The sequence below is a fragment of the Homo sapiens genome, chromosome 16 (genome assembly GCF_000001405.40).
Source record: "Homo sapiens chromosome 16, GRCh38.p14 Primary Assembly".
In the NCBI taxonomy this organism is placed as follows: Eukaryota; Metazoa; Chordata; class Mammalia; order Primates; family Hominidae; genus Homo; species Homo sapiens.
In genome coordinates, this window is record NC_000016.10 from 68,764,715 (window position 1) to 68,777,172 (window position 12,458).

The following is a 12,458-nucleotide window of genomic DNA, read 5'->3' on the forward strand; positions in this document are numbered from 1 at the left end:
CAGCAACTCAGTGGTGGAGGAGGGATTCCAGTGTATTTGGAGAGGAGACCTTAGGTGGCCAGGGAGCCCCTTCCTTCTGTCTGTCTGTTCATCTGTTCACCCATCATTCACTCTTCCATTCAGGTAGTCCTTGGCCACCTGCTGTATCCAAGATCTCTGGCTCCTAGTGCGGTGACGGTAGACTGGATAATGCAGACTAGTGGATGATTTGACAAGTTAACTTACATGGTTTTGGAAAGAGGCATCACTTTTATGACTCTGCAAACCCAACTCCCTTATTTCTAACTTGCCCAGCCCAATATTAAAATGCATCACCAAACCCTCCTGCTGTCTGCGGAGAAGCCAGCATGAAACTCAAGCTGAGCAGAAAACAGATCCAGCATGGAGATAAGGCAGCTGCAGTTTCACTTTTAGGTTGGGCCAACTGAGAATTTTGGGGACTTTCCTTGCTGTGAATGTGGAATTAAATTGCTTTTTTATTTTTATTTTTTATTTTTCGAGATGGAGTCTCGCTCTGTCGCCAGGTACAGTGGCGTGATCTCGGCTCACTGCAACCTCTGCCTCCTGGGTTCAAGCGATTTGCCTGCCTCAGCCTCCTGAGTAGCTGGGACTACAGGCAACTGCCACCACACCTGGCTAATTTTTGTATTTTTGGTAGAGACAGGGTTTCTCCATGTTGGCCAGGATGGTCTCGATCTCCTGACCTCATGATCCGTCCGCCTCGGCCTCCCAAAGTGCTGGGATTACAGGCGTGAGCCACTGCGCCTGGCTGCTTTTTAATTTTTTTGGAAAGGTAGGGGGGATTTGGTCAATGATTAATCCATCTGGAGTTTGGTAACGGATCCAGCAGGTATGTAAGGCATTTTAGTTATTTGATTCTAAATGAAATCCCAAAATTGTAGGGGCAATTAATCATGAACCTGAGGGCTCCTGAGTTGTCTTTGCTTGTTTGCCTCAAGACAGGTGACCTGTCTCCTTTTTTTTTTTTCTTTAAGTATTTCTAGACATGTCATGATTTTCAGATATTTAACACTTTTTAAAAGATTTGTTTTCCTCTCATGGGAAATTTCCCTGTCACAGTTGGATCTAGTTTCTCTTTCTATCTTGTGCCTGGTTTTTAGTTAATCTTCTCCTATGTGTCAAATAATCGAAGACCCTTCAGTTATTTATTGATTGGGAACCCTTCACTTACTGGTATGCATTTAGTTTTACATATGTGAGATCGTTTAGTGTTTCACATCACCCCTACTATAATTTTATATCGGCCAGGCACGGTGGCTCATGCCTGTAATCCCAGCACTTTGGGAGGCCAAGGCAGGCGAATCATGAGGTCAGGAGTTTGAGACCAGCCTGGCCAACATGGTGAAACCCCTTCTCTACTAAAAATACAGAAAATTAGCCGGGTGTGGTGGTGCGCGCCTGTAGTCCCAGCTACTTGGGAGGCTGAAGCAGGAGAATCGCTTGAACCCGGGAGGTAGAGGTTGCAGTGAGCTGAGATCACGCCACTGTGCTCCAGCCTGGGCGACAGAGTGAGATTCTGTTTACAAAACAAAACAAAAAAATTTATATTACCCCATTTTATGGATGAAGACACTGTGGCTCTGAGACATCCCCTTGACTATTTCATGGCAGGGCAAAGATTCACAACTTGTCCCTAACTGCCGGATGCACCGCTTCCCTTCCTTGAGAAAACTGGCCCAGGCTCTCCCAAAATCCAGGGGACCAGTAGCAGGATTTCTTTCAAGGGCATCTTGTCTTCCGGTCAATGTTTTCCCTCTGTAAAATGGCATTAGTAGAACCTACTTCATAAGGTTTTGGGGGAGATTAAATGAGATGAACAATATAGAATGTCATGTGTGCACTCAGAATTACAATTAGTTATTACTGATAATGGGTAAACATAATTGCTATTATTATTAACACTGACATAGCCTTACTATATGTGGGGCATTGCCCTGAGCATTTGTATAGTAACATATAATTCTCCCAGTTACTTTGTGGGAGTAGTAAGGTCTAGAACCCCCTTTTTTTTTGAGACAGTCTCACTCTGTTGCCCAGGCTGGAGTGCGGTGGTGTGATCTCGGCTCACTACAACTTCTGCCTCCTGGGTTCAAGCAATCCTCCTGCCTCAGCCTCCCGAGTAGCTGGGATTACAGGCACCCACCATCACGCCCGGCTGATTTTTTGTATTTTTAGTAGAGAAGGTTTCACCACGTTGGCTAGGCTAACCTCGAACTCCTGACCTCAAGTGATCTGCCTGTCTCGGCCTCCCAAATTGCTGGGATTACAGGTGTGAGCCACTGCGCCCCGCCTAGACCCCATTTTTGGATGAGGAAACTGAGACCCAGAGAAGTTCATTTAGCTGTGGTCTGCTGTGACAGGGAGATCTGCCACTTAGAAAGTTTTAGGGTCGTTTTATTTTCATAATAGAACACGATGAACCAGACCATCCCTGCTCCATTTTAGACCATTAAGTTTCTTTTTTTTTTTCTTTTCCCCTGAGACAGTCTCGCTCTGTTGGCCAGGCTAGAGTGCAGTGGCATGATCTCAACTCACTGCAACCTCTACCTCCCGGGCTCAAGCACTTCTCCCGCCTCAGCCTCCCGAGTAGCTGGGATTACAGGGGTGTGCCACCATGCCCGGCTAATTTTTTTTGTATTTTTAGTGAAGACAGGGTTTCACCATGTTGGCCAGGCTGGTCTTGAACTCCTGACCTCAGGTAATTCACCCACCTCAGCCTCCCAAAGTGCTGGGATTATAGGCCTGAGCCACCGTGCCCGGCCTAGACCATTAAGTTTCAATAATGAGAAAGTTGGGATTCCCCAGAGATGGGGATTCTCTTTCTCATAGTAACAAGACTTCCCAAAACAACATTTCTTTTTCAAGACTTCATTAAGAATCTCTTGTCTGTATCTTGGTCTTTTGTTGTTATTGTTGTTTGTTTGTTTTTTTATTTACTTTGTTCATTCCTACCTCTCCAACAAAGAATTTTGAGGTTTGGGGCACCCAGATGCATAATTGCATAATAGCTATATGTATTTCTCAGATAGGGTTAAGGAAATGGGCAAAGGAGAAATAAGAATAAAAGATAAGAGGAGAGCCGGGTGTGGTAGTGTGCACTTGTATTGCCAGTTACTTGGGAGGCTGAAGCAGGAGGATCACTTGAGCCTAAGTGTTCCAGACCAGCTGGGGCAACATAGAGAGACCCCCATCTCTAAAAATATGTTATAAAATATTTTAATTACTTTTTTTTTTTTTGAGATGGAGCTTTGCTCTTGTTGCCCAGGCTGGAGTGCAATGGCACGCTTTTGGCTCACTGCAACCTCCGCCTCCCGGGTTCAAGTGCCCCAGACTCCCAAGTAGCTGGGATTACAGGCATGCGTCACCACACCCAGCTAATTTTGCATTTTTAGTAGAGACAAGGTTTCTCCACGTTGATCAGGCTGGTCTCGAAGTCCTGACCTCAGGTGATCTGTCCGCCTTGGCCTCCCGAAGTGCTGGGATTACAGGCGTGAGCCACTGCGCCCGGCTTAATTACGATTTAAGAAAAAAGATGAGTATAGGAAGAAGGTTGGATAGTGATGTGTTTGCCACAGACCTAGATCCCTGCTAAAAGCAGACCACAGATTTGACTCTGAGCAAAGAGGAAAACAAGATCAGTTGCGTAATTAGGTTTCTATGAGTTAAGCATAAATCTGTTCCTTAGAGAGGATCCAGTTTCTCCACAGAGCTCTTACCTTCATGTGATTTTGGCAACAGCTCTTAATACCTTGGACTTTCCATTGATATTTGTCATTTTGCAGCTAATACATGTTAGTTGTGGGGAAAACTTTGGAAAATATAGATAGCTAAAAGAAAAAAGCTGGGTGCAGTGGTACATGCCTATAGTCCCAGGTGTTCCCTGGAGGCTGAGGTGAGAGGATCAGTTGAGCCCAAGTGTTGAAGTCCAGCCTCCATAGGGAGATACCATCTCTTAATAAAAAGAACAAAAATATTTAAATTGTGTGTAAAGTCACTATCTAGATATCACCACCGGGGAACATTTTTGTATACATCCTCCTAGAAGTAAGGTCTCTATTATTATCTTATATGTTGTAATATAAATGCAAGTATAAGTAATGGCATTTTACTAAAGTAAATCGTTATCCAACACTCTCTGCCTCAGGGCCATGGTGCCTGCTGTTCCCTGTGCCCAGAGCACCCTTCCCCCAGGCATCCTCATGCCACTCTTGCTTATCTCTTTCCAGTCTCTGCTCAAACTGCCCCAGTTCTCAGCAGAGTCTGTCTTGGATAATAGCTCACATCTATACCCTTGTCACTGTACCGCCTACCCTGCCTTTTTTCCATGGCACTGATTACTATTCAATTTCATGATCTGCTTGTCTCCCTCTCTTTGAATATGAGCTCCTTGAGGGTGGGTCTGTTTTGTTCATTGCTGTACTTCTAGGGCTTGGGCTCAGAATTCTGCCCAGCATAGAGGAGGTCCTCAGATATTTGAATGACTCCACACAGCTATTTCTGTATTCATTACAAATACATCTATATCAATAACTACTGAAATATGCCTATAGAAATGTTTCATACAGTTAGATTTATGTGTATACTTTTTTTCAAAATCATGCTCTTGCTCTTCCTACTTCAATGTCTGTTGGCTGCTTTCTGATTCCTTTGAGGCAGCACATGGTAAGATGCCTCTAAATTGTACCGTGGCCTATCAGGTGTTCATAGAAAACCCTCTGCAAATGGAATTTCTTTTTTTTTTTTTCCTCTTTTTAATTGAGACAGGGTCTCACTATGTTGCCCAGGCTGGTCTTGAGCTCCTGGGATCAAGAGATCCTCCCGCTTCAGTCTCCCAAAGTGTGGGGATTATAAGCATGAGCCACTGTGCCCAACCTGCACATGTAATTTCATAATTAAAATATTTTATCCATGGCTGGGAGTGGTGGTTCACACCTATAATCCCAGCACTTTGGGAGGCCAAGGTGGGAGTATCGCCGGAGTCCAGGAGTTCAAGACCAGCCCGGGCAACATAGGGAGACCCCATCTCTACAAAAGATAAAAACATTAGCTGGGGCCTGGCGCGGTGGCTCACGCTGGGGACTACAGGTTTATGCCATCACGCCTGGCTAATTTTTTTGTATTCTTAGTAGAGACGGGGTTTCACCGTGTTAGCCAGGATGGTCTCAATCTCCTGAGCTCGTCATGATCTGCCCACCTCGGCCTCCCAAAGTGCTGGGATTACAGGTGTGAGCCACCGCAGCTGGCTTTTTTTTTTTTTTTTTTAAAGAAAATGGTAGCCTCTGATGGCTGCTGTCATGCCCCCGGTTGTTTTCAGGTCCAAGTCTATCTGGAGACCTTTCCTCCCTGTCAATTAGGGGTCCTTTCTTGGCTACTATTATGTTGCTTTCTTCATCTTTGCCTCAGAATCATAAAGTTGGAAGGGCTTTTGGGGCCACCTGGCCTAGCCCTCTCTGCCACCACCAGGTGTGTGCTCTGGGGAGCTCTGCCTCCTGTCCTAAAACTGTCACCTTCCTGACTGGGCCTGTCTTCCACAAGACATCGCCTGGCTAGACCCCCTCTGACTACATCTTTTCCTGTGCCTGGAAGGACCTCAGAGGTAAGTATTTGGGTCTCTTGTGTCCCATCCCCACTCCCGGAGCCCAAAGCTCAGTCCGCAGCACATAGAGGGCCCTTAGGGGATGTTCATGGACAGCTGAATGACTCTGCCTCTGCCTTCAGGTGGGTACCAGCCAGTTGACATCCAGATTCATTCAGAGCCTGCTGTGGGCCAGGCACCAGCCTCGCACCTTCAGGGAACGTGGCAATAAATAAGGATTTCAGAGGGCAGCACATTCTAGAAGGATGTAAAGCAGTGAAACGGGGTAGGGAGTGCCTGGGGTAGTGGTGCAGGGCCCCTTTAGCTGAGGAGTGGATCAGGCAGGAGGATGTTTGTGTGGTACCTAGTGGTAGAAAGGAGGACACCATGAAGAGAGCAGTAGGAAGAGAATTCCAAGCAGAGGAACAGCAAGGGCTGAGAGCCTGAGACAGGAAGGAGCGCAGTGTGTGGAGTGGGCAAGAGGCCCAGTGTGGCAGGGCCTGGTGGGTAGATGGGCTCACAGGCGGGAGATAAGCTGGGAGGGGAAGGCAGAGGCTAGAGCTGGTCTCTAGTTTTTTAGACCTTATCTTCTGAAGGACAGATAAGTGCCTCTGCCTCCATCAGCTTCCACCGAGACGAAGTGATGCAAACCAGACCGTGCAGCCAACTCCTGCGTCAGGTTCCATAGGAATCCTTTCCCCGCCAGTGGAGGAGGCTCTCCCGTCTTTTGGAAATGATGTGCAGGAGACAGAGCTGATTCTCATTTCTTCCATGGACACGGCTAAGTGCGGGCTGGTGTGTGAGAAAGGGTTCGGGGCGCGTGGTTGGTGGAAGTTAGCTCCTGGCTGTTCTGCCTTGCAGTCCCAGGCAACTCAGACCTTCCCTGGCTGCTACTCACACCTACGCTTTCCTACGCAGGCTCTGATCTTCTTTTTCAGCCCTAGAATCCCAGAATAGCAGCTAATGTGTATTGAGCCCTTTTTTCTTTTTCTTTTTAAGACAGGGTCTCACTTTGTCACCCAAGCTGGAGTGCAGTGCAGATCACAGCTCGCTGTAGTCTCGAACTCCTAGTCTCAAGCAATCCTCCCATCTGAGCCTCCCGAGTAGCTGGGACCATAGGCACGTGCCACCATACCTGGCTAATTTAAAAAAATTTTTTGTAGCCGGGCGCGGTGGCTCACGCCTGTAATCCCAGCACTTTGGGAGGTGGAGGCGGGTGGATCACAAGGTCAAGAGATCGAGACCATCCTGGCCAACATGGTGAAACCCCGTCTCTATTAAAAATACAAAAATTAGCTGGGCGTGGTGGCGCATGCCTGTAGTCCCAGCTACTAGGGAGGCTGAGACAGGAGAATCGCTTGAACCCAGGAGGTGGAGGTTGCAGTGAGCCGAGATCGCACCACTACACTCCAGCCTGGCGACAGAGCAAGACTCCCTCTCAAAAAAAAAAAAAAATTTTTTTTTTGTAAAGAGATCTCACTATGTTGCCCAGGCTGGTCTCAAATACCTGGCCTCTTGCCTCTGCCTCCTAAAGTGCTGGGATTACAGGCGCGAGCCACCGTGCCTAGCCCATTGAGCTTTTATTCTGTGTCTGACAGTGCTAAAGGGCTTTACGTGGATTAACTTGTTGAATCATCCCATCCCCTTAGGAAATAGAGACCATCACTATTTCTGTTTTGCATATGAGGAAATCGAGGCAGGCAGGAGAGGTGAAATCACATGCCCAAGGTGGCATAGTTGATAAGTGGATCTGGGGCTTGAACTTGGGTCGTCTGACCTCTGACCTGGGGCTCTCAACCACTTAATGCTACACTGGGACCCTGACTTAAGGACTCAGGGTCTAGGCTCCTTATCTCAAAATTGGCCCCGTGTTGCCACACAACGGCCAATCGCATATGTCCTTGCCTTGCTTACCACCTAATCGGGCAGGCCTAGCAGACAGGGACACTGCCTTTCTTATCCTCTTCGTGCCATGCATGGAAGGGCGGGGCTCCATTAGAACTTGGAAGCTTCCTCTCTAATTTATGGTTTGTCCCTCTCCAACATATGGGAGAGATAGATAAGTCTCTTTAATTAGTTCACTAAGATTAATAAGCCATAGACCCATCAAGGAAAATTCAATAAATGTTCACTGGGCATCTTTTATGCACCAGGCTCTGTCTACATTCAGAGCGAGAGAACAGTCACAGCTGACATCTATGGACCACTTACAACTGGCCTGGCTCTGGGCTAACCCGCACCGTATACAGATCTTATATATACTTCACTCCATACCCTGTGATGTAGGTCTTCCTCAAAATCACCACACTATGTCAAATTGCCCATGAAAAACACCAGACTTAGGCTGGGCACGGTGGCTCAAGCCTGTAATCCCAGTACTTTGGGAGGCCGAGGCAGGTGGATCGCTTGTGCCCAGGAGTTCAGGACCAGCCTGGGCAACAGAGTGAGACCCCATCCTAACAAAAAATACAAAAAGTACAAAAAAATTACCTGGGGGTCCCAGCTACCCAGAAGGCTGAGGTGGGAGGATCGCTTGAGCCTGGGAGGTCAATGCTGCAGTGAGCCATGATTGTGTCACTGGATTCCAGCCTGGGCAACAGAGTGACACCCAGTCTCAAAAAACAAAAACAAAAACCAAAACCACCAGGCTTATGGGAAAGTGGGTTTAGGAGCTCAGCACTCAAGAACTTCATCGTAATACATTAGACAAAAAGAATTTTGCTTGTGGAAATGGGTCTCTAAAGGGTTGTGGCTTGTTATAAGTGGTGGAAGGAGAATTGTCTGAAATGAGATGGAAGTTGTAACACCAGGTGTGGATGGGTGAGGTTTGTAACATGTGAACTGAGGCAGCTGGAGAAGGTGGGTGTTTTGTGTGTTCCCGTGCTTCAGCTAGATAGAGTCTTCTGCATTCACCTAGTGTTGGTTGGAGACAAAATTGCACATGTGAGCAACCTTGACATTGAGTTATACTCAAGTTATTTTCCTTTTTTTTTTTTTTTTTGTTGAGATGGAGTCTTGCTCTGTCACCCAGGCTGGAATGCAGTGGCACAATCTTGGCTCACTGCAACTTCTGCCTCCCAGGTTCAAGTGATTCTCCTGCCTCAGCCTCCCCAGTAGCTGGGATTACAGGTGTGCACCACCACTCCCAGCTAATTTTTTTGTATTTTTAGTACAGACGGGGTTTCGCCATGTTGGCCAGGCTGGTCTCGAACTCCTGACCTCAGGTGATCTGCCCGCCCTGGCCTCCCAAAGTGCTGGGATTACAGGCGTGAGCCAGTGCACCCAGCCTGCTCAAGTTATTTCCTAATACATCATTCACATTGAAACACATTTGCATTTTCAAAACAAGGATTATTGAAGAACTGACTGTATTATCTCCAATTTGCAGTAAAGTAAACTGAGGCTCTGAGAGGTAAAGTGACTAGTCCAGGGTCCCACAGATGGGAGGTGGCACAGCCAAGATTTAAACTCAGCTTGAGCACTTAACCTGTGTGCCACAGGGCTCTTCCTGTTCATATCCATGAGAAACAAGTTATGTGGACAAAGATGGCCAAGACGAGAGATTGGTGGAGTATGGCCAGTAGTTAAGAATATGCAAGAATAATGTTTTATTTATTTATTTTTAAGACAGGGCCACGTTCTGTCACCTAGGCTAGAGTGCAGTGGTGCAGTCATAGCTCACTGCAGCTCAACTTCCCAGCCTCAAGCGATCTTCCCACCTCAGCCTCCCAAGTAGCTGGCAGTACAGGCACACGCCACCACATCTGGCTAATTTTAAATTTTTTGTAGAGACAGGGTCTTGCTATGTTGCCCAGGCTGGTCTTGATTCCTGGCCTCAAGCAATCCTCCTGCTTCAGCCTCCTAAAGTGCTGGAATTACAGGCATGAGCCACCGTGAATGGCCAGAAGCACAGTTTTAAAATGTTTGTTGATGGCTGGGTGCGGTCGCTCATGCCTGTAATCCTAGCACTTTGGGAGGCCGAGTCGGGCAGATTACTTGAGGTCAGGAGTTTGAGCCTGGCCCACATGGTGAAACCCCATCTCTACTAATAATACAAAAATTAGCTGGGCGTGGCGGTGGGTGCCTTTAATCCCAGCTGCTCAGGAGGCCAAGATAGGATAATTGCTTGAACCCGGGAGGCAGAGCTTGCAGTGAGCCAAGATTGCACCACTGCATTCCAGCCTGGGCGACACAGCAAGACCCTGTCTCAAATAAATAAATAAGTTTGATGATGACCAGTACAGCCTGGACCCTTTGCATTCAACGTGGTGCACTCCATCCTGGGTGACAGAGCAATACCCTGTCATAAATAAAATAAGTAAAGTTTGATGACCAGTACAGCCTGGACCCTTTGCAATGAAAGCGGATGCCTGGTGTTTAGTGCTCAAGCAGTGCTGGGGCCCTGGGCAGCAGCTGGAGGGTGGGCACTGGGGAGGACACCAGGAGGCTCAGAGCAAAGGCTACTCACCAACTGATGGGACTTTTCAATATTTCAACCATTGGTGTGGTTGTTGTCAGTCCATACTGGGTGAATCTCAGTCCTGATTTTATCTGAAATAAATCCACGTGGTTAGTTTGGTTAGTTCTCATTATAGAAGCCCCTCCCCATCCCCAAAACTTCTAATTATGGAAACTTAAATACATAAAAGTTGAGAAATAGTACAATGAAGCCAAGCATGGTGGTGCGCACCTGTGGTCCCAGCTACTCAGAAGGCTGAGGTGGGAGGAATGCTTGAGCCTGGGAGGTCCAGGGTGCAATGAGCTATGATTGCACCATTGCACTCCAGCCTGGGTGATAGGGCAAGGCCCTGTCTCAAAAAAAAAAAAAAAAGAAAAAAGAACACCCTCATTTTACAATTAACATTGTCATATTTGCCTTCTCTGTGTGTGCCTCTTAAGTGTGTGCGTCCGAGCATGCACTTTATGAGCCATTTGAAAGTACGCTGCAGGCATGTTTCACCCCTAAATACTTTAGTCTGCATCTCCTGAACCACAATGCCATTATCACAACTAAGAAAACGTATAATGTCATCTAACATCCAACTCTGATGGCAAATATTCCCAACCATGCCAAGAATGTCTTGTGTTTATTACAAACTCTCACATGCAAGTCATTTCAAACATCACCTCCCGAGATCCTTGTGTACCCAGAAGGGAACATGAGAAGAGAAGGTGGTGTTCTTGCCTTTGGTTTGCCTAAGGCCCCCTTTTTGTTCTCCCACTTTGGATTCGGTTGGATTCTAGGAGCAGTTACACATTTCTGTTTTTGTGTTTAAAAGCATGTAGGTTTCATGTAAGCTATATGCATGCACACACTAGCCACACATGGGACTCAAGTTTGTAATTTAAAAAGACATTTCCTTCCCCTATAATAAAGCATAGCTGGCATTTCTACATCTGAAGCGTCTAAGATAAAGCTGATGGTATCAGCATGTTGCTCTCCAAAGAAACAAAAGGTTATGATTTGATAGACCCTGAAATTAGACATCAAGGTCAAGAAAGTGTAAACTTAGGTGTGGTCGTTTTCCAAAGCTGTCACTCAGATGTTTAGCAAAATGTCCCCCTTTACATTTCCCCTGTCTTCCACAGGTCTCCCCCATCCACCCAAAAGGAGGAAAGTTAGGAGGGAAGATTGTCAAAAGTCCTCAAATATGGCTATTTTAGATTTCTTTTTTTCTTTTGGTGAGACAGAGTCTCAGTTTATCACCCAGACTGGAGTGCAGTGGTGCAATCTTGGCTTACTGCAACCTCTACCTCCCACCCCCAGGTTCAGGCTACTCTTGTGCCTCAGCCTCCCAAGTAGCTAGCTGGGACTGTAGGCACGCACCACCATGCCTGACTAAGTTTTGTATTTTTAGTAGAGATGGGGTTTTACCATCTTGACCAGGCTGGTCTCAAACTCCTGACTTCAAGTGATCCACCCACCTTGGCCTCCCAAAGTGTTGGGATTACAGGTGTGAGCCACCGCACCAGGCCTATTTTAGATTTCTTTTAATGTAGTAGCAGGTAACAAGCATAGTTCATATACTTTTACTATTTTTAATAATGACCAACGTTTCCTGAACATGAATAGTGGATTAAAGTGCTGAGTGGCATGCCTGGTGCACAGCAGGAGTCCAATATTAGCTATGGACAGTACCTGACATTCAGCGGATTTGAATCATTCAGACTTGAAACTGCACTATAATATTTTACTTAGTAAAATCTCATTAAAAATTTTTTTTAAATAGTATGTTTTGTAGAGACAGGGGTCTCACTATATTGCCCAGGCTAGTCTCGAGTTCCTGGGCTCAAGCTATCCTCCTACCTTGGCTTTTTCAAAGTGCTGGGATTATAGGCATGAGTTCCTGCACCTGGCATAAAGTTTCATTTTATATTGCAGCTTTTAAAGAATGGGAGTGCATCACATCTACTTTTAAAGGAAAGCTGAGCATGTTTTGAGTTATGCACAGTTTTCAGCAAAACAGCCCATGCATGAAATCCAACAGGCTTGTCAGATTAGGCTGGTCACTTTACATTATATACTTTCTCATGTAGTTCTCACGACAGTCCTGTTATTTAGAGATTGCCATTCGGCCCATCTTATAGAGAGGAAACTAAGGCTTAGAGAGGGTAAGTGACTTAACCTCAAGTATGTCTGAGTGGTGGAGCTGAAACCTCAATCTTGGTGTGGCTGACTTCAGACTTGTTACTTGTAACCACCGTGCAGTCCCAAGCTTGTGTTTGTTGCTGTTCCAAATGCAACATTGGTGCCTCTAAGCCTCATATCATGAACTGGTTCAGAGAGAGAAAGCCACAGTCCCCCCAGGTTCATTTAGTGTGTGTTCAGGTGTGTTGGCATGGTGCTTCCTTCAGTCTTTCT

At 46.4% G+C, this 12,458-nt stretch overlaps 1 protein-coding gene across 4 annotated transcripts in view, besides 15 other annotated features; it reads left to right on the plus strand.

Annotated features, from left to right (window-relative positions):
• CDH1 (cadherin 1) overlaps positions 1–12,458 on the plus strand; it is a 98,246-nt gene that overhangs the window by 27,423 nt on the left and 58,365 nt on the right. The gene's annotated exons all lie outside the window — the stretch shown is intronic.
• Positions 1,255–1,399: an enhancer, noted in NCBI's record as "145 bp 16:68799944 sequence used in MPRA reporter constructs". NCBI's record gives its function as "activates a minimal TATA-containing promoter with rs4783674 allelic activity by MPRAs in C283T melanocytes {active_cell/tissue: C283T}" and the evidence as "EXISTENCE:reporter gene assay evidence [ECO:0000049][PMID:36423637]".
• Position 1,327: a transcriptional cis regulatory region, noted in NCBI's record as "rs4783674 or 16:68799944 MPRA-significant variant associated with a GWAS melanoma risk locus at 16q22.1". NCBI's record gives its function as "allelic transcriptional activity by MPRAs in C283T melanocytes {active_cell/tissue: C283T}" and the evidence as "EXISTENCE:reporter gene assay evidence [ECO:0000049][PMID:36423637]".
• Positions 1,699–2,373: an enhancer, noted in NCBI's record as "H3K27ac-H3K4me1 hESC enhancer chr16:68800316-68800990 (GRCh37/hg19 assembly coordinates)". NCBI's record gives its function as "activates a minimal SCP1, AML or CMV promoter by ChIP-STARR-seq in naive H9 embryonic stem cells {active_cell/tissue: H9 hESC(naive)}" and the evidence as "EXISTENCE:reporter gene assay evidence [ECO:0000049][PMID:30033119]".
• Positions 2,160–2,304: an enhancer, noted in NCBI's record as "145 bp 16:68800849 sequence used in MPRA reporter constructs". NCBI's record gives its function as "activates a minimal TATA-containing promoter with rs13330350 allelic activity by MPRAs in UACC903 melanoma cells {active_cell/tissue: UACC903}" and the evidence as "EXISTENCE:reporter gene assay evidence [ECO:0000049][PMID:36423637]".
• Position 2,232: a transcriptional cis regulatory region, noted in NCBI's record as "rs13330350 or 16:68800849 MPRA-significant variant associated with a GWAS melanoma risk locus at 16q22.1". NCBI's record gives its function as "allelic transcriptional activity by MPRAs in UACC903 melanoma cells {active_cell/tissue: UACC903}" and the evidence as "EXISTENCE:reporter gene assay evidence [ECO:0000049][PMID:36423637]".
• Positions 3,379–3,523: an enhancer, noted in NCBI's record as "145 bp 16:68802068 sequence used in MPRA reporter constructs". NCBI's record gives its function as "activates a minimal TATA-containing promoter with rs8055912 allelic activity by MPRAs in UACC903 melanoma cells {active_cell/tissue: UACC903}" and the evidence as "EXISTENCE:reporter gene assay evidence [ECO:0000049][PMID:36423637]".
• Positions 3,379–3,527: a biological region, named in NCBI's record as "melanoma risk locus-associated MPRA allelic enhancers 16:68802068 and 16:68802072".
• Positions 3,383–3,527: an enhancer, noted in NCBI's record as "145 bp 16:68802072 sequence used in MPRA reporter constructs". NCBI's record gives its function as "activates a minimal TATA-containing promoter with rs8056206 allelic activity by MPRAs in C283T melanocytes and UACC903 melanoma cells {active_cell/tissue: C283T | UACC903}" and the evidence as "EXISTENCE:reporter gene assay evidence [ECO:0000049][PMID:36423637]".
• Position 3,451: a transcriptional cis regulatory region, noted in NCBI's record as "rs8055912 or 16:68802068 MPRA-significant variant associated with a GWAS melanoma risk locus at 16q22.1". NCBI's record gives its function as "allelic transcriptional activity by MPRAs in UACC903 melanoma cells {active_cell/tissue: UACC903}" and the evidence as "EXISTENCE:reporter gene assay evidence [ECO:0000049][PMID:36423637]".
• Position 3,455: a transcriptional cis regulatory region, noted in NCBI's record as "rs8056206 or 16:68802072 MPRA-significant variant associated with a GWAS melanoma risk locus at 16q22.1". NCBI's record gives its function as "allelic transcriptional activity by MPRAs in C283T melanocytes and UACC903 melanoma cells {active_cell/tissue: C283T | UACC903}" and the evidence as "EXISTENCE:reporter gene assay evidence [ECO:0000049][PMID:36423637]".
• Positions 5,037–5,181: an enhancer, noted in NCBI's record as "145 bp 16:68803726 sequence used in MPRA reporter constructs". NCBI's record gives its function as "activates a minimal TATA-containing promoter with rs28450087 allelic activity by MPRAs in UACC903 melanoma cells {active_cell/tissue: UACC903}" and the evidence as "EXISTENCE:reporter gene assay evidence [ECO:0000049][PMID:36423637]".
• Position 5,109: a transcriptional cis regulatory region, noted in NCBI's record as "rs28450087 or 16:68803726 MPRA-significant variant associated with a GWAS melanoma risk locus at 16q22.1". NCBI's record gives its function as "allelic transcriptional activity by MPRAs in UACC903 melanoma cells {active_cell/tissue: UACC903}" and the evidence as "EXISTENCE:reporter gene assay evidence [ECO:0000049][PMID:36423637]".
• Positions 7,392–7,686: an enhancer, noted in NCBI's record as "tiled region #4224; K562 Activating DNase matched - State 5:Enh". NCBI's record gives its function as "activates a minimal TATA promoter and a strong SV40 promoter by Sharpr-MPRA in K562 cells {active_cell/tissue: K562}" and the evidence as "EXISTENCE:reporter gene assay evidence [ECO:0000049][PMID:27701403]".
• Positions 9,594–9,738: an enhancer, noted in NCBI's record as "145 bp 16:68808283 sequence used in MPRA reporter constructs". NCBI's record gives its function as "activates a minimal TATA-containing promoter with rs12708889 allelic activity by MPRAs in C283T melanocytes {active_cell/tissue: C283T}" and the evidence as "EXISTENCE:reporter gene assay evidence [ECO:0000049][PMID:36423637]".
• Position 9,666: a transcriptional cis regulatory region, noted in NCBI's record as "rs12708889 or 16:68808283 MPRA-significant variant associated with a GWAS melanoma risk locus at 16q22.1". NCBI's record gives its function as "allelic transcriptional activity by MPRAs in C283T melanocytes {active_cell/tissue: C283T}" and the evidence as "EXISTENCE:reporter gene assay evidence [ECO:0000049][PMID:36423637]".